Source organism: Homo sapiens, chromosome 8 (assembly GCF_000001405.40).
Source record: "Homo sapiens chromosome 8, GRCh38.p14 Primary Assembly".
Classification (NCBI taxonomy): Eukaryota; Metazoa; Chordata; class Mammalia; order Primates; family Hominidae; genus Homo; species Homo sapiens.
In genome coordinates this window covers 142,389,499-142,412,709 of record NC_000008.11, presented here as the reverse complement: position 1 = coordinate 142,412,709, position 23,211 = coordinate 142,389,499, and the positions used below count along the sequence as shown (strand labels likewise).

Here is a 23,211-nt window from a genome sequence, read left to right as displayed (position 1 = left end):
CTTACAGGGAAAGTGAGGTCCAGGGAGGTGGCAGTAATGCTCCAGGGCTGCCCCAGGCTTCGTGGGGGCAGTGCAGTGGGTTCAGTCTGCGGGTCTGGAGCCAGGACCCAGTGGGGAACAGCAGCAGGGCCCCGGACTCCTGGGTGGGCAGGCAATGAAGCCTTCCCGACACGGCATTGCTTCTCTGAGGGGCAGTGTGGGCTGGGCAAGGGGCAGTGTGGGCTGGGCGAGGGGCAGTGTGGGCTGGGCGAGGGGCCACCTGGTTTGCCCCCCTTGCCAGAAGCCTCAGTTCTGTCCTCCCGCAGGGAATGGTGCCCCACACTGAGAATCAGAACTGAAGACACAGCACTCATTTTCCAGATGGGAAAAGGGAGAAACAGCAAAATACCAATGTTGCTCAGGGCCGCGCCTGCCGGGCTGGTCTGGACCCAGCTGGGCTGCCTCTCCCTTGGCCTCCTGCTGTCGCCACTGAGCATCACCTGGGCATGGCCACCCTGCCAGGGGCTGGATGCTTGTCCAGGGTGGTGATAGCTCCTTCCTGGGCCCTTCCCCATGTGGCACAGGGGAGCTGTGTTGGGTCCGCACCGCTCATCTGTCTTCATGATACCGGTGAGTTCTCTCCCTGCAACCTTGATGAAAACACAGAGAGAGGCCTGGGCGGTCAGGACGATTCCACCCAGGAATGCTGCCCCGTGGGCTGGAGGCCACCATCCCATGGCCCCTGAGGCCCTGGGAGCTCTCGGCATGCAGCCCAAGGGAGCACCCTGATGAGATCCAGCCACGATGACTTTTCTCTTGACGTCCACGACCTCCCAGGAACCAGAGGTACTTGTCTGTCCTGGTGCTGGGCCCCTCCCAGCACTGCACCCAGGCCCCTTGGAGCTGGGGAGAGTGATGGGGTACAGGCCCCGGGTCACAGGGGAGAATGTCTGGCCCTCCCCTCAGCACCTCGTCTGCTCTTCAGAGCCCATTTCTCAGCCACGGGGAAGCTGGGGTGTCTGGTTCAGAAAGGGATGATGGCGCTGCAGAGAGCGGTGGGGACCCCAAAGGCAGGGGAGAGGCCATCCTGATGAGGGCAGGGCTCAGGCCCCTGGAGATTTTCCCGCAATCCAGTGGAGAGGGAAACGCACTGGCTGGGGAGCCAGGAACTCAGTTCTGCCCCCACTGCTGGGTAGCTTTGGGGGCCACTTCCCTGCTCCAGGCCTCAGTTTCCTCCAGAATATTCCAGATGATCCTCAAGACCCCTTCCAGGTCAGTCACTCTAAGTCTATCATTCATTAATTCACCTTCTATCTAATTCATTCATCCAACAAACACACAATGAAGAGCAGTAATGGCCAGGTGCCAGCAAGGAGGAGTTCCTCCATTTGGGGGTGGGGGGACAACACAGTCAGCACCCAGCAGGCAGGAAGGTTGGGCCTGCAGAGCTTAGAGGAGGCCCCAGAGCTGGGCCGAGGGGTCAGGAAGGCTTCTTGGAGCAGGTGGTAGAGAGTGTGCAGAGGTGCAACCCTAAAGGATGAGCGGGTTACCCTCCAGGCAGAGGCCCAGGCTGTGCCAACACAGGAGTTGGACGCAGGCGTGTGGAGAACCAGGAGCTCTGGCTGCTGTAGTCAGAGGCCTGGGACACTGGGCAGGTGCTTGGATGTAAGCCTGGCATGACGCATGGCGCCAGAAGGCCTCAAGCAGGCAGTTTCCCAGGGAGACCAGGTGTGTAAGCCAAGCAGAGAGGGGCACTGCTGGGCAGGGCCTGGGGCCGGGCACACCCCGGCAACCTCGAGGACCCCTTCTGCTTCCATCAACAACCTAGGAGGTGCCCCCCCCACCCCCCACAGTTGCTTTCAGCCCACACACAGCACTGTCGTGAGCTTTGGCAGCACGCTTGCTGGGGAGGGAGCCCCTGGAAGTACAAACTGTTGTGATTTTGCAAAACGCTGTTCTCCCTGATTTTTACCTTAGCTCGTTAGCATCTCATTACCGTGTTTCCCTGTGTGCAGAAGTCGGGGTGTTTTGGGTTTCTGAGTGGGCATGGAGGCTGATTTCAGCACAGCGGAGTCAACTCCAGCTTCTGTGAGTATAAGAATGTTTGTGACTGTATGTGAGTATCTGGGAGTGCATTTGTGTGCAGATGTGAAGAGAGGTGGGGGCCAAGGGTGGGAGGAGGTGTGGGCAAGTCCCTACATGCCATGTCTGGAATAGGAGTTGGGGCAGAAAGTGATGCAGGAGGTGGATGTGGCAACCTTCTCCAGCAGCCATGTTAGAGCCACATTGCTCCTGCCTGGCAAACTCCTACTCATCCTTCAACACCCAGCCCAAATGCTCCTTCTCTGGGAAACCTCTCCAACATCCTGGACAGAACGTAGTGTTTCCTCATATCACCTTCTAACAACAGTCTCATGGTCCAGCGGTGACCCCTTTGGCTGGTCTGCCACCTCTTCAACTTCCGAGATACCCTGAGGGCATCATGCTGTGTTCCTTAGCTCCCATGCCTGGCTTTGGTGCTTGGGCATCCATGCAAGATGTCAATGGCAAATGCTCACCCACACACAATGCATGAGCTCGCATGTTCCAGGGCTTCCAGAGGGCCAGGCCCTGTGCTCAGCACTGTTCCAGGTTTCTCTTGCATCGACTCACTCAAGCCTCAGGTTGGCTCCACGGAGCTGGGAACTTTTTGGTGTGCATAGCACCGATGAGGAGGCTGATGCGCTGGGCCACCCAGCAGGCACACGGTGGAGCCAGGGGTCAAACCACACTCCCTGCCTCCAGGCTGAAAGGGCCCCAGGGATTGTCTGGGAGGCTGGAGCTTCTGGTGGCTCAGCTGGAGGGAGCACAGAGCAGGGAGGAGGGATATGAAGTGCGTCTGTCCCTAAACCGACCCTCATTACCGAGAGAATAATACGTGCCTTTGCAGAGCAGCTCATAGGATAACAGGTGGGCTGTGTCAGTGAAATGCGTCCCAGCATGGGGCTTCTTCAGCCCCTGCCCCTCAAGGGACGGCTTGGCTCAGCTCCTTGAAGAGCTGCAGAGGCAGGGCCAGGAGGGAGAGCGCTTGCCCTCGGCCCTGCCCTGAGCGCTCACCAGGTCTCCCCCAGGGGAACCCAAAGGTCAGGGCGCAGTCTTCTGCTCTTTCTGCCCCCAGCCTGGGGGATGAGGGCATGTCTTGTTCCTCCACAGGCCCAGGGCTGCCCACTCGAGGTGGCAGAGGTGGCCGCCTTCTCCCTCCCTGACACTCAAATGATCCCCCTGTCATTTGCTCGTCTTCCTCATCCATGCACAAGCTCCCCATTCATCCCCCTCTCCGCAATAGGATGAGGCCTCTCTCCTGGGACACGATGCCCCTTCCTCAAGCGCCCCAAGTGGACGTCTAGAATGCAGGAAGGGGAGGCTGAGGGCCTGCAGCAGGCGGCCCCTTCCCCTCTCTCCTTCTCTTTTCACTCAACCCTTGTCCACTCAACTCAGTGACTCCCAGGACAAGAACGAGAGCCTTGGGACCTGTTCCTTCCCTCTTGTGGCTCCGAGGCTGCTGGGCGGCCCTGCCTCCTGGCCACAGGCAGATGTACAGGGAAGGATGGCAGGGCGTGCTGCACCCACTCCCGCACGGGGCCAGCCACATGGGCCTTAGACGACAAGAGGGGTCGGAAGTGTGGCTGCATCAGGGGGAGAATAGGGGAGCATTCAGGGAGCAGCTGCCGCCACAGTCACCATCGTGTTCATGCTTATGCCTCTCATCGCGGGCTCTCACACGTGGGTACATGCCCTCAGCCCCACTCACCAGTGGCTCCTGATGGTTTCTAAGGTGTCCACCAAGAAGCCAGGTGCCAGCGTGCACGTCTAGGATGCTCACTGCCCAGCGTGCATGTCTAGGATGCTCACTGCCCAGCGTGAAGTGTCCTGGTCTCATTTGGGTACCAGGTCTAAATCCAAACAGCGGACACACAAGAACCACACATTCAGAACCAAAACGTGTGCTGTTGACTGTAAAAGAAGTGGTGAATGATAGCATTTTCAAAGTCCCTTCAGAGGCTGGGTGCAGTGGCTCATGCCTATAATCCCAGCACTTTGGAAAGCTGAGCCAGGTGAATCGCTTGAGTCCAGGAGTTTGAGACCAGCCTGGGCAACATGGCGAAACCCTGTCTCAAATAAAAAAACACAAAATACAAACAAAATGAGCTGTAGTCCCAGCTACTAGGGAGGATGAGATGAGAGGATTGCTTGAGCCTGGGAGGTCAGGGCTGCAGTGAGCTGATTGCACCACCGCACTCCAGCTGGGCAACACAGCAAGACCCTGTGTCTAAAAAAAAAAAAAAAAAAAATGGAAGCAGAACAAAATAAAGTCCCCTCGGCTCACTGGTTACTCCACAGGGCTATGACTTCGTGGCTGTTACAGGCTGAATGTGTGGAGAGGGGAGGTGCCATGACGAGGAGGCAGAGACCAAGCCTGGGGTGAGGTGACATGGGCTGGGCCCAGAGTGGCCCGGTGCTGGTCTGAGACCCTGTACGTGTCCCTCCCCTACCAGGTTTCTCACCTGTGGAATGAGGAGGAGCCAGGAGATGGGCCGTCTGAACCCTCCCGACCCCAAGCAGCTGGAGGGGTCAGGATGTGTCCACAGAGGGGAGTGGGACGTGGACGTTGCTGGCTCCTCTCTCGCCATGGTACTCACAGCTCACCCCCCAGAAACGCTACCCCTCAAGACTTGCCCATTTTGGTCTCCTCATTGATGGGCTTTCCCTGATCCCCATCCCCCCGGGTGCCCCCACGCCCCTGATCGCTCCTGCAGGGCCTCAGCACAGGTTCCCAGCACACACGTGTGTGATTTGCAGGTTGTCGACATTGGCCTGCCTGCCAGGTGGTGCACAGGGCTGTGTCCTGATGCAGAGACTGCCAGGTAACCCCAACCTTCCCTTTTTACTCAGTGCAAGAGTCCAGCTCTTAGCTGAGAACACAGCCCCTGGGGTGGAACATGTCCTAGCCTCCTCTGCAGCTCGAAGTACCCGAGACCCAGCTGTGGCCAAGGGGGGCTGTAAGCAGAGGTGAGGTGTGCAAAATCCAGGCAGCATCCCTAAAAGCACGGGTTGCAAGGTTGGGAAGAGTATGCCAATGTTTCCTCCCTGCTGGCTGAAAGCAGACATGATGGCTGGAGCTTCAACAGCCGTCTGGTACCGTGAGGCAAAAGGCCTATTTGGGGATTGATGGGGCAACCAGACTAAGGGGGCCTGGGGTCCTGATGATTGTGAGGCCACCTTTCCAGTCCTACTGCCTACCTGGACATAAAAATATCACATTAAAAGCAACCGTCAATCAAGCCACTGTTATTTGGGTTGTTCTGTCATCAGCAACCAAATCAAACTGGATGCTATCCCCAGATCCTAGCATGTTGCGCGGCGTGGAAGTAAAGCTTGTTCAATGAGTGAAAGAGGAGACAGGCTTTGCCGATGAGATGAACTGTGGCAGGAAAGAAACGGGCAGCTGTGCCCAGCAGCAGGCCTAGCAGTGGCTGTGGAATCTGGGGGGACTGCACCCTTGCAGGGCGGAGACTCCTCCTGTCCCCACGTCCCCACCTGCTGATCTGAGGCTCATGGATGCCAGGAGGGGGTCGGGGAGTGGGAAGCATTCCCAGGAAGGGTGGCAAGTGTCCTTTCCTGGACGATGCATCAGCAAGAACAGCACTCCACATGCTTGTTGATGGATTTTCTATTCTTTTACTTCATTTTTCTTTTTGTCACTCCTGCTCCATGTTAAACACCTTGGGAGGCTGTTATGCACATCAGGATGGAGTTGGTTTCTAAGAGCCTGGTCTCTGATGACGCAGACTGAGTCTTGAATGGTCAGACCACTGTCCTGTGCTGGGGCTGTGTCAGGCCCTTCCCAGAGACTCCCACGTGTCCCCTCATGACACTGCCTCTGCGTGGGTGACAAGGGAATGGACCGCCACCCTCCCACACACCCCATGCCCTTGGTTCTGCCCAGCCCTTTACCAACCTCACTCTTGGGCAGGCCTCATGACCGCTCTGCCCCTGCATTGCGGCTTTGGTGAACAAGCCTAGAGAAGGTGTGCCTCAGGCTGAGCATCACACAGCAAGACAGGGCTTAGTCTGGTGTTAGGACCAAAGTTTCTTCTCCTCCTCGTCTTTTTATTTTTTAAGATGTGGTTGGAAGCCCGGGCTGCATGGGGACATGTGGAAAACAGGCACCTGAGAGTGTGGCTCCCGCGCCCTCATGCCTCACAAGCTCCTCCAGGCTGTTCCAGGTGTGGGGCACTGTGTGTTCCAGGTGTGTGGGGCCATGACGCGCCCTTGGGGCCTGCCCGCAAGGAGCCATCGTTGTTGAGGGGCAGGACGCAGCTAATAGAACGATGTCCCACTCCCGTGAGCTTAGGAGCCCAAATCAGCTACAATGGAAGTGGCACTGGCTTCAGTTACAGAAAACCTGACGAAATCCAATGAGGCAGACCCATAAAGGGAGCAGGGGCTTGTTCTCCCCATGGTGATGAGTCTGACGGTGCCATTGGGGCACCAAGGCAGCTGCTCACATCCTCAGCTTGGGACCCTGCCCCTTGCTGGCCACATGGCTGCTGTCCTCGGGATGCCGTGCCCACACTTCAGGCTGGAGCCAGGAGAAAGGAAGACTGTCAGTGAGGTGGGTGGCCACAGCTGCCCCTTCCAAAGGACCAGGAGGCTCGATTGTGCCTCCTGCAGTCATCCCCTGGGCAAACAGTGTCACAGCTGGCCCAGCTGCTGGTGAGGCTGGCTACATTGATGCCTTGAACAAAACTGGGGTTCTGTTGCTAAGGGACAAAGGAGGCCTGGGTAATAGTGAGGGCGGCTCGGCGGGGTTGGTGGGTGCAGGAATCAAGGACTGAGTGCCCGTGGGCTTTGCTGGAGCAGAAGCTGTGCTGGGAGCAGAGCAGGAGGTGCACAGGCCTTCTCCTGTCCAGGCAGGGGCTGCAGGGGAGCAAGGGATGGTCTCCTGAGCAGGTGACATTGAAGCCAGGCAGCAGAGGGTAGAGAGGAAGGGTGGGAGGGTGGGGAAACTCACGACAAAGCCATAGGTTGACACTGACCTGGAAATTCAGCTTAAACCCTGAGAAGTCCATGCTACTATTCAGAGAGGGAGCATTTCTGAGGTTGGCTTTAGTGGGTGCTGCCTCAACGTTCCTTCCGAAGGCCTTGGAACCACCCCCTAACCTTGTTGCCCACATTCCCTCTGGGACCTGGAATGGTAGATCCAATTTGGGGGGTGCCAGCTGAGGACCAGGCAACCCCCACCCCCTTAGGTAACAGAACTCAGCGTCCTGGGGCCAATCCCACTTATTCACCCTGTTGGTCTCACTGGTTGGCCAAGGGGTGGGACCAGAGTTCTTCCCAGGGAGTCCTGCTTCTCTGGAGGAAGGAGGGAGCCCAGAGCTGCCCGAGGTCATGTGATGACCTCTTCCAGGGAGGGGCAGAGATGAGGGAAGGGAGGGGAGCCCCGGCCCTAGGCCCAGGCAGCTATTGGCTATTTCCCTCATCCCTTCCTGAGGACCCCTTAGCATCCTCCTCCCCCTCCCCATCGGCTCAGCCTGAGGGAGTGGGCTCCTGGCTCTTCCACGGAGAGGTTTACCTTCCCTGACTTGCTGTGGGGCACTCAGGCGGGCTCATCCCAGATTTCGGAGGAGCCAACAGGTACGGAGCCCCTCCTCTGGTGGTTCCTACCCACGCTAGACCATTCCCCCTGCAGTGTCCAGGCACAGAAACAGCCCCATATACGCCTTGTATGGTCAAGAAAGCGGCTCCTGGAGGTGGTCTGCCCTGGGAGGAAAGGGCTTCACTTTCCCCTCCTTTGCACACCTGAACACGGAGCTGTCAGAGGAGGCTGAGTGAGGTGGCGGCCAGACAGACAGCGCCAGCCACGGAAGGGGAGGTGGGCACCGTGCCAGGCACCCGGCATCCTCAGTCCAGACTGACAGCTCTCAGACAGGCATTGGTCCTGGCGAACCTTCCCCTTCAAGTGGAAGCTGGGGGGTCAGCAGTCATGGGCATCCTCCCTGGTTAGGAGCCGGCTTCCCTGCACTCTAGCTGTCCTAGCCGAAGAGTGAAGCCCTGTCCAAATCATGGCGAGGCTGCAAGACAGGCACACACTACTGCCTCCTGGGAGCCCAGGGGAGACTGAAATACACCAAGGCAAGGAGCGTGGGTGGGCCCAGGACAGGCCGGCCTGAGCACCAGCCCAGGAATGCTGGTGGGCATGTGCCCCTCTTCCCTCCCACCCATGTGTGCACACATTTGTGCCATATACTACCGTTCCCATGTTTGCGCCTGGGCACACACTTGTGCCAGCATACACACACTTGTGCACTTGCACCTGGTGTCCAGGAACACTCCCTCAGCTCACAGACGTGCGCTGTGTGCACACAGTACCACGCAGTGTCCACGAGCACACTTTTGTGTTCGTGTTCACAGAACCCGTGTGCGCACACATGCACAGTCCTGGGCTGCAGAGAACCCCAGCCAGCGGGGCGGTGGGGGAAGGGGAGGGCACGCCTCCTTCCCAGGAGCTCAGCAAGGCTGTCCGCGGGAGCCCAGGGCTGCCCGCAGGGCTTTGGCGTAGGCCTCGCAAGCACAGCAAGCATCACAGAGTGAGGGCGGCGGGAGAACCTCCGCTTGCCGGAGAAGGTGCAGCGGACTCATCACTCTTGCTCTCCTGCCTTGGGTGTGACTCTTGGTTCACCTCTGGGGAAACAGGCTGAAAGGTGACCCTGGCGGCCCAAGGACACACACCCATTGTCCGCAGGTTCCTCCCAGGTGTCTTCTCCAGCAGGTCACCGGGAGAGCGAGGGGCTGGAGTCTTTCGGGAGCTCAGTGCCCGCAGGCAGAGCAGGGAAAGGGAGGCGCCCCAGGCCCCTGCGGAAGGAGGTCCCAGGAGGGTCTCCGCAAGGGGCTCCCTACTCTGCACTTCAGCTCCTCCAGGGAGGGGCTGCGACCTCGGGCAAAGGTCCCTCAGATGTCTTGAGACTCAGTTTCCTCGTTGGTGACACTGGGAGTCCGGAGTCCCCGCGGGGCCTGCCAGCCCCCGGCCGAGCACGGCCCCACGCGGAGCCCGTGCAGCCTGACTTGGGGCCCAACGCCCGTCCCCGCAGCGCGAGACGCGCAGGTGCCCGGCCCTGCCCTGGCCGAGACCCGCCGCCTGCGCAGCCCCGCAGAAGCTCCAGCTTTGGCCCGTGTGAGGTCCGGGCTCGGCCTGGGCTGGGCGGAGCCCGCTCCCGAAGCGCCTCAGCGCCGGGCCGCCGCCCTCCACGTGACCTCCACCTTCGCCGTCATCCCCATATGCAAAACGGGGAAACGGGGAAACGGAGGCCCACCACCAGGCAAGTGAGGACAGCCGACTCGCGCGCGCACCCGCAGAGGCCTCTTGGCCCAGCCGACCGCCGTCCGCGCCGCTTCCGGCTCCGCGCCGGGGCCTCTGGGGCGGGTAGTCCCCGCGCGCGTCCGGGACCGGCGGCCATTGGCTGGTGCGGGAGGGGGCGCGCACGCCGGCGGCGGGAGGGGCCGTCACGTGATGTTTGGGTGCCCGCCCCGCCCGCCTCGCCCGCCGTGAGCGCCCGGAGCGGTCCGCGAGCCACCGAGGCCCAGGTGAGGCGGCGGCGGTGGGGCTGGGGCCTGGCCGGGGCCGGGCGTGGGGCGGCGAGGGCGAGGCGGCCGGGGACCAGCGCGGGGCCCGGAGCCCGGCGGGGGCCGCGGCGTGGCGTGGTATGGGGCTTGCGGGAGGCCGGGCGGGGGGCGGGGCCGCGCCGGTGGGGAGGGGAGGGGGCGGGACCGTGCCGGGGGTGGACCCCAGGGGCGCCAGGGACCCTGAGCCGCAGCCCCGCGAGAGCGCCGCATTTCGGGGACCGGCCCGCGGGCACATGAGCCCCTCGGCGGGTCCTCGCGCGCTGTTCAGACCCCAGGTCGGTGGGCTCTGGGCCGGGCAGCCGGTGCCTGCGCCTGGAGGTCAGTGCCGTCCCGGGGAGCGCCCCAGCGCCTACTTGCTGGGTGCAAGGGTTGGTGCCCTGCAGCTCAACGAGCGGAGCCCGCCTTCGAGCCTGAGCTGGGGACCCCGTTCCTGTGTGCTTGCCTCTCCATGCCTTTCTGTCCCTTCTCCAAGTTGTAAGAAGGTGCTTCCTGGGTACTGGGGCCTGCGACATCCCCACCAGGGACTTTCAGGTGATGTTGATCTGTGCTGCCCCCGCAGAAACTCTCCAGGGACCTCGTGTTTGTTGCCTCATGGCGCACTCCTCCTGCTCTGGAAGCTCTGCCATGTCCAGTGTGGTAGCCCCTAGGCATGTGTGGCTGTTTACATTGTCCTTAACGTGAAGGATTCAGGTCCTCCGTGCCAGTGGTCACATGTCCGACACTCAGTAGCCACACGTGTCTGGTGGCGGCTGTGTGGGGCAGCGCGGGTAGGGAACACTGCTTATCACAGGAAGTTCTGTGAGCGGTGTGGTGCGGCTCAAAATGGGCCTCGCGCGTGCTGCTCCGCCGGTGCTTCTCCGCCCCTCATCCTGCCAGGTGCCTTTCCAGCCACACCTGGCGCCCTTTCTTTCCTCTGCTGCACACTTGCCTCTTCTTTTAGTTCCTGGCTCGCTCCTGGCTTGGGGGCAGCTCCGCTTCCGGTATGTCTGAGCTCACCTTTCTGACCGCTCTCCCTACAGTATTTCTTGTTTGTCATTGTCACTCATCTGCTTGTTTTCTGTTTTATCTTTAGTGCCTGTGAGACAGGGGTGGGGATTGTTGCTTAGGATACTCCCAGTGTGGACACAGTATTGAGTTGAAAGAAAGCTGAAGTTTGTTAGTACTGGAGTGCTTCCCCCGACTGAACCGCTGCTTTCATACCGTTCGACCCCATACATCACAGGACCGCAGCAGAAATCTGGTAGAACAAATGTTTGGACACAGCAGCACAGGCCGTGAATGCAGGTGGCTGTGGGAGGCTGGCAAATCCAAGACGACTTCCTGGAGGAGGTTGAGTTTTGGCTGGGTCACCTCTGTTTCTCTCCTCCTCTGCTGGCCTGGCCCCATGAACATCTGGCAGCCTCTGGCTGCTCTGACTCTATCCAGGAACCTTCCCTGGACACTTCCCCTGAGTCTGGCCTTCTGTAGATGCTGGGTCAAGAGCCTAGACCTAGGCACTCAGTCTAGGGGCTCATGGGCAGCCAGGTGTCCCTAAGTCTCTTCCACAGCTCCTCATGGCCTGCAGAGCGAGGTCCTGGGTTTGGCTCCTGCCAGCAGCTCCTGCCACATCTTCAGTCCCTGCTTTATGTCCCTGACAGTGCAGTCATTTTTCCTGCATAGTCTGTGGCTTTTCTCACTGGTGTGCCTGTCGATGCAGAGCCTTCTGCTTGGAATGCCCTGGCACTCCCGTGTTTGTCTCTCCTGTGTGCCTGGGAGCCTCTGTGGCATAGACCTCTGCTGTGTCACCCTTGTGTCCTGAGCACCCCACCCAGCACCGAGAGTAGGATAAGCACCTAGCAGGTTTTGATGAATAAATACACTGGACACGTAAGACTTTGAGGAGAATGTGGTGAGAAGTACAGCTAGGTCACGATGCTGGAGCTTGAGATGGAATCAGGGAGTCACCTTCCAGGTGGGCGGAGTTGGGGAGTCACCTTCCAGGTGGGGAGGAAAGACAAACATGCCTCGACCATGGCTGTACCAAGCCATTCGCGACACGGCGTGGGTGCATCCTTCCACGGTCCTGAAAAGGGGTGGTGAGTGTCTGCAGGTGGTGACACTAATGATACTGGTCACAGCACCTCCTGGTGCCAGGTGACCAGGGAACTGTGTTCATTACTCAGTTTACTCTCACAGTCACCCTGGGAGGAGGGTCTGTTGTCCCCATTTCCCAGATGGAGAGACTGAGACACAGAATGGTGATCTTGCCGTGAGTCCCTCAACTGTCGGGTTCTAGGACGTCATTTGTTCAGCCCAGACAGACACATTTCTTCCGAGGTTGTTGGGCGTTTTATCCCTCTGAGTGGTGTTTGGCCATAAGAACAGTTGGCTAGGGGTTAGGCTGTCTTCTTCTTATTTTTATTTTTTGACACGGAGTCCTGCCTCAGCCTCCCAAGTAGCTGGGACTACAGGTGCCTGCCACCACACCTGGCTAATTTTTTGTATTTTTAGTAGAGACGGGGTTTCATCATGTTGGCCAGGATGGTCTTGATTTCTTGACCTTGTGATCCACCCACCTCGGCCTCCCAAAGTGCTGGGATTACAGGCATGAGCCACCGTGCCCGGCCCTTTTAATTTTTTTTGAGAAGCTTCCCTCTTGTTGCCCAGGCTGGAGGGCGTTGGTGCAATCTTGGTTCACTGCAACCTCTGCCTCCTGGGTTCAAGTGATTTTCCTGCCTCAGCCTTCCGAGTAGCTGGGATTACAGGGGCCTGCCACCACGCCTGGCTAATGTTTTGTATTTTAAATAGAGACGGGGTTTCACCATGTTGGCTAGGCTGGACTCAAACTACTGACCTTTAGGTGATCAACCTGCCTCAGCCTCCCAAAGTGCTGGGATTACAGGCGTGAGCCACTGTGCCCAGCCACTTCTTCTTTTTGGCCAGGCTAGACTCAAGCTCCTGACCTTCAGGTGATCAACCTGCCTGAGCCACACACTGTAATCCCAGGTGTGAGCCACCGTGCCCAGCCACCTCTTTTTTTTTTTTTGAGATAGGCGTGTCTCACTGTGTTGCCCAGTTGCCCAGGCTGGTCTTGAACTCCTGGCCTTAAGCCATCCTCTGGCCTCAGCCTCCCGGAGTGCTGGGATTCCCAGCGTGAGTCATGGCGTCTGGCTCCAGGCTTTTTGTTTTAATGCACACGGGCGTTTCTGTGGCTACTGGGTTTGTTTGGATGGTGTTACTTGCTACAAGTAGACTTTGACCTTGTGGCCCAGTCCAGCTGTCATTCATTGTGTTCTTTAAAGTCTGATTTGTGCATCGTCCATAGTAGCAGACTCCTGAGCAGCCCTCCTCTCAGATTCCTCTGCTTTCTGCTGGGATGCTCAGCCCTGTCTAAACATTTGTGGCATCTGTGTGTGGAGCAGTGGTGACCAAAAGACTAAAGGCAAGAAGGAGTGAGTGAGAGAGTTGGAGAGCTCATGGCCGGCGCTGTCCCTCCAGAGGTGACAGTCAGTTGTTCAGTGTGGATGCTTATGTTTGGCTCTGCTCTCTGTACTGAGGGCATCCTCATCCTCTCCCTCTTGGGCGCATTGAGGCAGCTGGGGAAGATCATCATTCCTCCTGCCCCCACGGTCCCCAGCGCCAGTGGTGGACTCTGTACCTTTCCACACCTCCCTGTCTGCCACCCCACCCGCGGGGAGCTGTGCGTCTCTGAACGTCCATCCAGCTGTGGCCCAGGGCCTGGGGCCCAGTGAATGCCCGATGGGGATTTGCTGAAGACGTGAGGGGTTGTTTCACAGCTGATCTTGAGCCTGTGCTGTTCTTATTCCACTATCCTTCCTGTTAGTGCTGCATGGTGGAGCCATCTGGAAGCTTCCATAGGAAGAGTTTTCTTGGTCTGAGTTCCCTGGCAGAGAAGAAGGGCACTACCAACAATGACAAGCCAGGTGCCTTGAATAGGTTTCTGAAGATGCCTTATGGGCGGGGTGTCCTCACCTACGGAGCCCAGTTGGGCGGTGTCTCCTGCAGGGGCCTTGCTTCGGGGTGTCCTGCTTGCCATCCAGGGCTGTCCTCAGAAGCCAGCTGTGGCTGTCCTGCCTGGCCTTATCCAGGCTATGAGATTCTCTCGTCAACTTGCGGCTTGCTGAGTCTGGGATGGGGGTGAAGGTGGCTCCGTGTGGGCTTCAAATCCGGACTGTGCTGCACAGGGCCCTTCCTTTTTTGTCCTTGGGTAGGTCCTGTTAGGATGTGAACCCACTTGGGGGCCACTGCAGGCAAGCAGGACAGTCTACTGGGTGTTCCTGCCTGGACAGGGTCATTGGCAAGTCCCCAGCCCCTGCCCCTGCCATCAGGGCTGCTGTCTGAGATGTGTAATGTTCTGTGAGACTATGCTAAGGCCATGCCTGGCATGAGTCTTGGGATGGACACAGTGGCAAGCAGGATCAGGCTGTCCTGGCCTTGCTCCGGACACTGCTGTGCACCTTACAGAGCAAGGTCGAGGCAGTGGAGTGAGGAGGTGGAGAGGGCACCTTACAGAGCAAGGTTGAGGCGGTGGAGTGAGGAGGTGGAGAGGGCACCTTACAGAGCAAGGTTGAGGCGGTGGAGTGAGGAGGTGGAGAGGGGAGCTGACTCTGCTGGGGTTGTGCTTTGGCAGGGCTGGGGATGTGCTTTGGGAGGGTTTGGGGGCATATTTTGGGGCTGGAGGTGTGTTTTGGGTAGGGCCGGGGGCATGTTTTGGGCAGGGCTAGGGGTGTGTTTTGGGCAGGGCTGGGGGTGTGTTTTGGGCAGGGCTGGGGACATGTTTTGGGCAGGGCTAGGGGTGTGTTTTGGGCAGGGCTGGGGGTGCGCTTTGGGAGGGTTTGGGGGTGCGTTTTGGGCAGGGCTGGGTAGATACCTGGGAAGAATCCTGGATGCTGGTGAGGCCTGAGCTGTGTCTGGAGAGCTGAGTGGCCTTAGCTGGGGAGGGCAGGAGAGGCAGCTACTCCAGGCAGCGGGAGGCCCAAGGGAAGGCACAGCAGTGCTGGACTCCTAGTAGGCAGGTCTGACTCGGGTCAGCCTGTGAGGGTCTTGGGAGGCAGGGTGAGGCCTGGGCTTTTCTGATGGCTGTTGGTGCTGAGCAGGGAACCCGGGGCCCAGGCTGAGGTTTGCCGAAGAGGTCTGGAGACAGGGCTGGGTGGAGCAGTGCCACACCGAGGGCCTGTGTCTGGAGCCTGCAGGGGCCAGGCTCCATGCCTTGGCACTGTGTGCTGGGTGCCTTGTGGTGGCTGCGCTGTGGGCCCCCTCGATGGATTGGTGGGCTAGCCACGCAGCTGAGTGGACTGGCAGCAGCTGCTGCTCATTGTCCTGGCAACCCTGGGCTTCAGGCTGCAGGCTCGAGCCCTCCCCAGCATGGAAGCCAGTGAGCAGAGCCAGGCACTCACGCTGGCCTGGGAGCCTCTGGCCCAGTGCTGTGGCCAGATCAACTGTTGTTTTCTTCCACAGTGGAAGATTGCCTCGTTTTCTCCCTCTGATTTGCCCTGTGGGGAGGGCTACAACCCAGCCCTGACTTACGTAACATCCAGGTAGGGACACAGCATTGCCACATCTTAGCCGTGGGACCCTGGCCATGTCACTTGGCCCCTCCAGGAGCCCTGCCTTTCCATGTCATTAGTCTGATCCTGCAGCCTCCTGGGAGGTGGGCAGCATTGTGTCTGTCCCAGAGACTTGGAATCTCCGGGCGTCTTGGGGGACATCACCTGAGGGGTGTAGGGAAGAATTCCCAAGGTGCACAGAGGGGCTGTGGAAGGTCAGGGAGTGCAGCCCCAGGGTAGGCGGAGCTGCCTCTCTCCTGTGAGACCCTCGGGCTGCCTCGCCACTGCCACACAGAGGGGCTGTGGAAGGTCAGGGAGTGCAGCCCCAGGGCAGGCGGAGCTGCCTCTCTCCTGTGAGACCCTCGGGCTGCCTCGCCACTGCCACACATAGGGGCTGTGGAAGGTCAGGGAGTGCAGCCCCAGGGCAGGCGGAGCTGCCTCTCTCCTGTGAGACCCTCGGGCTGCCTCGCCACTGCCACACATAGGGGCTGTGGAAGGTCAGGGAGTGCAGCCCCAGGGCAGGTGGAGCTGCCTCTCTCCTGTGAGACCCTCGGGCTGCCTCGCCACTGCTACACACATCACAGAGCTTGCTCTACCTGGTCAGCCATGGCACGGCCAGCTCGCACAGTAGACCTGAGCGTCAGGCTGTCTTGGATTCTGATTATAACAACACCTCCTGCTTTTGACCACAGGGCATCTGTCAGGCACCTGCTAGGCTCTTCCTGCTCCTCAGATCAGGAAACTTCCCAGCCTTGGGAAACTTACCTGAAGTCACGGGGGTGGTAAATGCCCAGCCATGACTTGAGCCCTGGTGTTCTCACCAGGATTCTGATCAGAGGCAGAAATCAGAGGCATTGCTCACCGTTCTGCTGCCCGGCCCACCTGGCGATCCTGCCCTGCTGCTCTCCAGGGGGACCAGGCTGGAAGCAGCTTTACAAACAAAAATTCCCTGTTGAGTTAGAGGATGTTATTAATAATGGCAATTACTGCACTAATAAAGACCTAATCCTGTCCCTCCCTTCCATCTTGAGATGATGTTCCAGAGCAGAGTGTGGCAGGGGTTCACAGGCTTGAAGGAATCCAGGTATGGAGGTTGAGATTTCTGATGGAGAGGGGAGGTGGGCGGAGCTCAAGATTCTTGTTCCCATAAGGCTTGAGGCTAGGAGGTCGGGGTGGTGTGAGCCCCCAGAGGCTGTGGTTGCCTGTGGATGGTGTCTAGCTGAGTCAAGCGTTTCCAGGGCTTTGGGGCCAGGTGCGCGGGTGTGTGCGTGTGTGTGTGTGTGTTTGTGTTTATCGCCTGAGCCTGACCCTGGGTGTCATCTGAGGGGTGCACACTGAACCTGTACCAATGGGAAGCTGGGCATTGGAGGGGTGATGGTGAAGGAGTTGAGTGTGGCATGGTCTGGGGAAGATGAGGGCCAGTGTTCTGAGGGCATGGGTCATCAAGGGTCCTGTCAGAGAGCCACGGACAAAGAGAGCCACAGGCGTCTGCCCTGGACAGAGCCACGGACAAAGAGAGCCACAGGCGTCTGCCCTGGACAGAGCGGGCCACCTTGGCTGCCCTCCATCTGGACCCATGATCCATTCTAGCGAAGTATTTGGAAGGGGACATGTTTTTAAACCAGAGCCCAGAATCAGTCTCTCCCAACATTAGAAAGAAGCAACACAACACAGCAGCCTCCTTCCTGGGCTGGCTGCCCTCGGTGCTAATGAGGAGCTGGATTCCTTGCTGGGAGTCTGACCTCCTTCCCGCTGCTGCTCACTTGTGGGAAGGTGCTGATGAGCGTGGTGTGCTGGGAGTGGGCGCAGGAGGCGGAATTGCAAGTGGGGAGAACCGTTGCTTCTGCTGCTTCGTGGTACCTGGGCGTTTTCGCCGGTCACAGCCTCCAGCCTGGGCCCCTTAATTCTGCATCTTGCTGAGGGGTAGATCCGGCGGTGCCGCCCCCTGGCGACAGATCTTCCTGGCAGCTCCAGCCTCACTGTCACTTGGCATCTGCGGTGCTCCATGGGCTTTCCAGCCCCTGGGAAACCTGCTGCGCTGACTCCGCAGGCTGCCTGCAGCCTGCCCCCCGTGTCTTTGCTGGGGCCGCCCCTCTGCCTGGAGTGGCCCCGACTGGTGACCTCCTGGGCTGTTGAAGTCTCCGCTGGGGGACGCCGTCAGGAGTCAGCCCCATCCCCTCATCCTGAGGGCCTGGTGCCTCCCGGGGAGGGCAAGGTAGAGAGAGGGCTGCAGATTTTGGGAAGTGGCTCTGCGTGGCTTGGGCCTTGTTGCATTGCAGTCATTAGCTTTCCTCCTCCAGGGCCAGGACCTTGTCTTTTCTGTCTCTGTGGTCCCAGCACAGGAAAATGCCCACAGTGGGCACAAGATAACCATGGGAGGAGCTGAGCCTCACCTTTAGGCCGCTCAGCCTTTGATGCACGGGGCCGCCCCCCTTCCCTGCCAGGAGCAGGAAGTGGTGGGGGACAGGAACAGCGATGCTTCCTGCAGGCGGGCAGGTCCTGAATTCCCAGAGCAGCCTCCAAGGTGACACCATCACCCTATCTTACGGAAGGGAGACCGGGTCACCTGCTTGCATCTCTCCTTATGGAGACTTGGCTTCTAGGGCCCTGCACCCTTAGCGCACCTCACTGTCCCCAGGGCGCAGGCACAGCCTGGGATGCTGCCAGCAGAGGAGACTTGGCAGGGCACACAGGGACGTGGACAGGCACGCTGGCAGCTGGGGCGTGGGGAGTGCTGCGGTGACCCTGCGGACCATCCCACAGCTTAGAGCTCAATGGCATGGTGGCCCTGCTGCCCCTGGTTGGAGCAGGGAGGTGGGAGTTGTTTTCTGTCCAACCTGAGAGGTGATGTAGTTTCCCAAGACCATGAAGCAAGCACAGAGCAGAGCTGTGGGAGGAATCCCGTGGGGTCTGGCCGTAGAAACTGTGGCCTGTCATTCCCACACTGCGCCATGGGAAATGGGCCCAGGACTGTGGGGCACTTCCAGGTGAGTCGATTTGTGCCTTGGAACCCCGGAGGTTCTAGTCTTAGACCTGCTGCCATCATCGTCCCTCCCTTTACCCAGAGCAGCTCTGATGTGATCTGTTTCACTTGGTGTTTTCTGAGTACGGTTGTGTTTGGAGAAAAGATTCTGTAGCTACTGCTTTCACTCCCCAGTTTACAGATGGGGAGTAAGAGGTCCGAGCTGTCCGGTCCACCCGCCCTGCTGCTGTGGGGTGCCCACACCCTGGTTCCTTCAGTCTGGCAGGGTGGTCCGATGGGCAGAGCACCTCCCGTCTTTCTGCGTATCTGCCCCCAAAGCTGTTATCTTGACACCTTAACCGGTGTGAGAGGGTATGGAGGCCACTGGAGGCCGCAGGCATAAGCGTGGGGCCCACGGGCAGCCTGCAGGCTTCTGCCTTAGCCAGGGCAGGAGGGCCTCCCAGCCCAGCAAGGAGTGAAGACGGGCAGCCAGCGTGGGCAGAGCTGTGATTGGACGGGTGGAGAATGTAACCTGTATGGTTTTGCTTTCGTAATGAACATCCCTCAGGTTTTAGTAGCCTGAAGCAACAAAGGTGTGTGTTCATTGGGGATTCACAGTTCATTGGCCAGGAGGAACCACACGGCTGCAACCACAAGAGGCCAGGAAGTGCCCCACACTCCCCGAGGGAGGAGAACTGGAAGTCTCGGTTGAGCAGCACGAGGGATGCCACACCAGCACGTAGCCAGGCAGCTTGTGCTGTGAACCGGCCACCTTTGCTGCCCAGGCTTTCCCTCGATTTTCCTCCTGGGCTTCCCTATCTGCAGTAGGAGAGGGTGGGCTGTGTGACACTTCACCTCCCTCTAGGCCTCTGCTCCAGGAGGTGGTGGAGTGGACGGGGCAGGTGCTCGGGGAGTCAGACCAGGGAGAATGTGGCCTCTGCTCTCTCAGCACCTTCGGGCGTGGCGTTTGGCATCTCAGGATCTTTTTGTAAATTAAACTATTGTGACCATTGTAAATTCACATACAGTTGTGAGAAATAATACACAGATCCTGTGCACTCTTCACCCAGTTTTCCCCGTGGTAGCTTTGTGCAGAACGAGGACAGTAGCACAGCCAGCGGATTGGCCGACGCGGCCGCCATGCCAGAGGTTTCCGTCATCACTCAGAGGAGCCCTGTGTCGGTGCCCGTTTCAGCGAAGCCTACCTTGCTTCTGCCATGAACCCTTCCTTAACTCCTGGGAGCCACCAGTCTGCTCTCCATCTCCGTAATGTCGTCAGTTGAAGCGAGTCGTAGAAATGGAATCTTGCAGTGTGTGGCCGGGGATTGGCTTTTTCTATTCGCCATCGTTCCCCGGATGGTTCTCAGGGCTGCTGCAGGGGCCAGGAGTGGTTTCTTCCTGTTGCTGAGAGGCCTGTTCCACGGTGTGGATGGCCCACAGGTTATTCTAATGACCTTTTACTTTACTATTTTGAATAGTTTAGGTAGTTTGACAATTAAAACATGGCAGGAAGCATCCAGTAGAAAGTATCCCTATCCCTGGCCGGCCCAGCCGTCATCTCCACAGCAGCCACTCTTGTGAGTTTCTTTCTTTCTTTTTTTTTTTTTTTCTTTTTCTCCTTTTTTGAGACGGAGTTTCGCTCAGGCTGGAGTGCAGTGGTGCAATCTCGGCTCACCGCAACCTCCACCTCCCAGGTTCAAGCAATTCTCCTGCCTCAGCCTCTTTAGTAGCTGGGATTACAGGCATGTGTCACCATGCCCGGCTAATTTTGTATTTTTAGTAGAGACGGGGTTTCGCCATGTTGGCCCGCGTGGTCTCAAACTCAAACTCCCGACCTCAGGTGATCCGCCCACCTCGGCCTCCTGAAGTGCTGGGATTACAGGTGTGAGCCACCATGCCTGGCCTCTTGTGAGTTTCTCACACAGTCACGTGAAGCATAAGGACGTTTTGGTCAATGATGGATGGCATAGACGAGGGTGGACCTGTAAGATTATACTGGCGCCGAAAAATTCCCGTCACCTGGTGATGTCCTGATGGTCATGATGTAGTGCAGGGTATCACTCACGTGTGTGTGGAGAGCTGGTGCAAGCAGACCTGCTACACTGCCCGTCATCTAACAGTTCAGCACATACGCTACGTAAGACTTGATAATGAACACTATGTTACCGTTCTGTGTATACTATACTTTTTATCGTTATTTTAGAGTGTACTCCTTTTACTTATTAAAAAAAAGTTGGCTGGGTGTGGTGGCTCACGCCTGTAATCCCAGCACTTTGGGAGGCCGAGGTGGGTGGATCACCTGAGGTCAGGAGTTTGAGACCAGTCTGGCCGACATGGTGAAACCCTGTGTACTACAAATGCAAAAATTAGCCGGGCATGGTGGTGCGCCCCTGTAATCCCAGCCACTCGGGAGGCTGAAGCAGGATAATCACTTGAACCTGGGAGACGGAGGTTGCAGTAAACTGAGATCGCACCATTGCACTCCAACTTGGGCAACAAGAGCAAAACTCCGTCTCAAAAAAAGAAAAAAATGAACTGCAAAACAGCCTCAGGCAGGGCCTTCAGGAGGTGTTGTCACGGGATCCCTGGGGTGTCACTTAGACCGTTGGAAACCTCTGTGGCTGGCGGTGCCTCTGCCTGAGTGGTGCTTACACCCGCTAGGCTTGTTCCGCCCACTCAGCCCAGTAGGCTGTGCTCAGCTCGTGCTACCAGCCCAGATCCCACACATGCCAAGGGTGAGCCAGGCATGGAGCAGTGAGGGGCGTGTGGGTGAGCGAACATGGGTCTGGCCACTGTGCACAGCCAGGCATGCCGGCTGCTGCGGCAGGGCGGGCAGCCCTAGGTGCTGGCACAGGTGCTGGCTCCATGCAAGGCTGCGGCTGGACCAGATGTACTGCACACGGCTTCCACTGTGAGCACCCGCGTCTGGATGAGGGGAACGTGGTGGCGCTAGAAGCTTGGAGGCGCCAGGAACCGCAGAGCCCCAAAGAGGGTGCCAGAGCCCTGGCTCAAGGAGTTTCTAGGTCTGGGCTTGCTGAAGAGCTGAAGAGCTGCAGCTCTTCCTTCCTTCTTGTCACCTGCAATGTTGCAAGTGGGGACCGTGTCTATTTTAAAGTCCCCAGCAGTGTACAGCGTCTGTTACAGAGTCCCCAGCAGTGTACAGCATCTGTTACAGAGTCTCCCGCAGTGTACAGCGTCTGTTACAGAGTCCCCAGCAGTGTACAGCGTCTGTTACAGAGTCTCCAGCAGTGTACAGCGTCTGTTACAGAGTCCCCAGCAGTGTACAGCGTCTGTTATAGAGTCCCCAGCAGTGTACAGCGTCTGCTATAGAGTCCCCTGCAGTGTACAGCGTCTGTTACAGAGTCCCCAGCAGTGTACAGCGTCTGTTACAGAGTCCCCAGCAGTGTACAGCGTCTGTTACAGAGTCCCCAGCAGTGTACAGCGTCTGTTAGAGTCCCCAGCAGTGTACAGCGTCTGTTAGAGTCCCCCGCAGTGTACAGCGTCTGTTACAGAGTCCCCCGCAGTGTACAGCGTCTGTTACAGAGTCCCCCGCAGTGTACAGCGTCTGCTATAGAGTCCCCAGCAGTGTACAGCGTCTGCTATAGAGTCCCCTGCAGTGTACAGCGTCTGTTACAGAGTCCCCAGCAGTGTACAGCGTCTGTTACAGAGTCCCCAGCAGTGTACAGCGTCTGTTACGGAGTCCCCCGCAGTGTACAGCGTCTGTTACGGAGTCCCCCGCAGTGTACAGCGTCTGTTACGGAGTCCCCCGCAGTGTACAGCGTCTGTTACGGAGTCCCCCGCAGTGTACAGCGTCTGTTACGGAGTCCCCCGCAGTGTACAGCTTCTGTTACGGAGTCCCCCGCAGTGTACAGCGTCTGTTACGGAGTCCCCCGCAGTGTACAGCTTCTGTTACAGAGTCCCCCGCAGTGTACAGCGTCTGCTATGGAGTCCCCAGCAGTGTACAGCGTCTGCTATAGAGTCCCCTGCAGTGTACAGCGTCTGTTACAGAGTCCCCAGCAGTGTACAGCGTCTGTTACAGAGTCCCCAGCAGTGTACAGCGTCTGTTACGGAGTCCCCCGCAGTGTACAGCGTCTGTTACGGAGTCCCCCGCAGTGTACAGCTTCTGTTACGGAGTCCCCCGCAGTGTACAGCGTCTGTTACGGAGTCCCCCGCAGTGTACAGCTTCTGTTACGGAGTCCCCCGCAGTGTACAGCGTCTGTTACGGAGTCCCCCGCAGTGTACAGCGTCTGTTACGGAGTCCCCCGCAGTGTACAGCGTCTGTTACGGAGTCCCCAGCAGTGTACAGCGTCTGTTATAAAGTCCCCCAAAGTGTACAGTAATGTCCCAGGCCTTCACATTCACTTGCCACTCACTCCCTGACGCACGCAGGCAACTTCTAGTCCTGCAAGCCCCGTTCATGGTAAGTGCCCTATACAGTTGTATCATTTAAAAAAATCCTTAAAACTGTATTTCTGCCGTACCTTTTCTATGTTTAGATATGTATAGATATGCAGATTCTTACCACTCTGTTACAGTTGCCTACAGCATTTAGTACATTTGCCTGCTGTCCAGGTTTATAGCCTGGAGCAATAGATTTTACCACATGGCCTGGGTGTGTATTGGGCTCCAGCATTTGGTGTGTGAAGATATACTCTGTGATGTTTGCACAGTGAGGAAATCATCTAATGATACAGTCCTCAGATTGTATCCCTATGGTTAAGCAAAGAATGACTGTTTGTCCTTCCAGAGCTTCATTATACATTCCAAGCAAACATAAACATTTCTTTTTTGCTTTTTCTTTCACAAGTCATGATATGACACATTCCTGCACCTTGGATCCCTCCCTCCCTTGACGAAGTGTTAATATGGTAAGTGATGTGGAGATCTTTTGGAATCAGTCCAGGGTTCCTTTCTTGTCTCTGACAGTCACAGAGGATTCCATGGTGTGGATATGCTCAGACTGATTTCATAGGCCTTTGGGGCTGGACATTTAGGTGACTTTCGATCTTTTCCTATTACAAAATGGGTGGTCTAGTTCATATGCTGCTTTGCACATGT

At 58.0% G+C, this 23,211-nt stretch overlaps 1 protein-coding gene across 36 annotated transcripts in view, besides 7 other annotated features; it reads left to right on the top strand.

Moving 5' to 3' along the window:
- Positions 2,196-2,874: an enhancer, noted in NCBI's record as "H3K4me1 hESC enhancer chr8:143491197-143491875 (GRCh37/hg19 assembly coordinates)". NCBI's record gives its function as "activates a minimal SCP1, AML or CMV promoter by ChIP-STARR-seq in naive H9 embryonic stem cells {active_cell/tissue: H9 hESC(naive)}" and the evidence as "EXISTENCE:reporter gene assay evidence [ECO:0000049][PMID:30033119]".
- TSNARE1 (t-SNARE domain containing 1) overlaps positions 5,681-23,211 on the top strand; it is a 194,950-nt gene continuing 177,419 nt past the window's right edge. For 33 of the 36 annotated variants that reach the window (XR_007060718.1, NM_001366901.1, NM_145003.5 and 30 more), the window contains exon 1: positions 9,528-9,606. Coding sequence is in view for 3 of the 36 variants with exons in the window: in XM_047421461.1 (XP_047277417.1) it covers positions 9,301-9,345 (45 nt within the window). In the remaining 33 variants the exon portion in view is untranslated. Of the gene's footprint in view, positions 9,346-9,527; positions 9,607-9,804; positions 9,921-23,211 lie in introns of those variants that run through there. The other 3 variants (XM_047421461.1, XM_047421475.1, XM_047421476.1) reach the window with 3 other exon arrangements.
- Positions 8,623-9,398: an enhancer, noted in NCBI's record as "H3K27ac-H3K4me1 hESC enhancer chr8:143484673-143485448 (GRCh37/hg19 assembly coordinates)". NCBI's record gives its function as "activates a minimal SCP1, AML or CMV promoter by ChIP-STARR-seq in naive H9 embryonic stem cells {active_cell/tissue: H9 hESC(naive)}" and the evidence as "EXISTENCE:reporter gene assay evidence [ECO:0000049][PMID:30033119]".
- Positions 8,623-9,689: a biological region, named in NCBI's record as "H3K27ac-H3K4me1 hESC enhancer GRCh37_chr8:143484673-143485448".
- Positions 8,630-8,679: a silencer, noted in NCBI's record as "silent region_19596". NCBI's record gives its function as "represses an Ori minimal core promoter by ATAC-STARR-seq in GM12878 lymphoblastoid cells {active_cell/tissue: GM12878}" and the evidence as "EXISTENCE:reporter gene assay evidence [ECO:0000049][PMID:35858748]".
- Positions 9,120-9,689: a silencer, noted in NCBI's record as "silent region_19595". NCBI's record gives its function as "represses an Ori minimal core promoter by ATAC-STARR-seq in GM12878 lymphoblastoid cells {active_cell/tissue: GM12878}" and the evidence as "EXISTENCE:reporter gene assay evidence [ECO:0000049][PMID:35858748]".
- Positions 9,830-9,969: a silencer, noted in NCBI's record as "silent region_19594". NCBI's record gives its function as "represses an Ori minimal core promoter by ATAC-STARR-seq in GM12878 lymphoblastoid cells {active_cell/tissue: GM12878}" and the evidence as "EXISTENCE:reporter gene assay evidence [ECO:0000049][PMID:35858748]".
- Positions 15,597-16,098: an enhancer, noted in NCBI's record as "H3K4me1 hESC enhancer chr8:143477973-143478474 (GRCh37/hg19 assembly coordinates)". NCBI's record gives its function as "activates a minimal SCP1, AML or CMV promoter by ChIP-STARR-seq in primed H9 embryonic stem cells {active_cell/tissue: H9 hESC(primed)}" and the evidence as "EXISTENCE:reporter gene assay evidence [ECO:0000049][PMID:30033119]".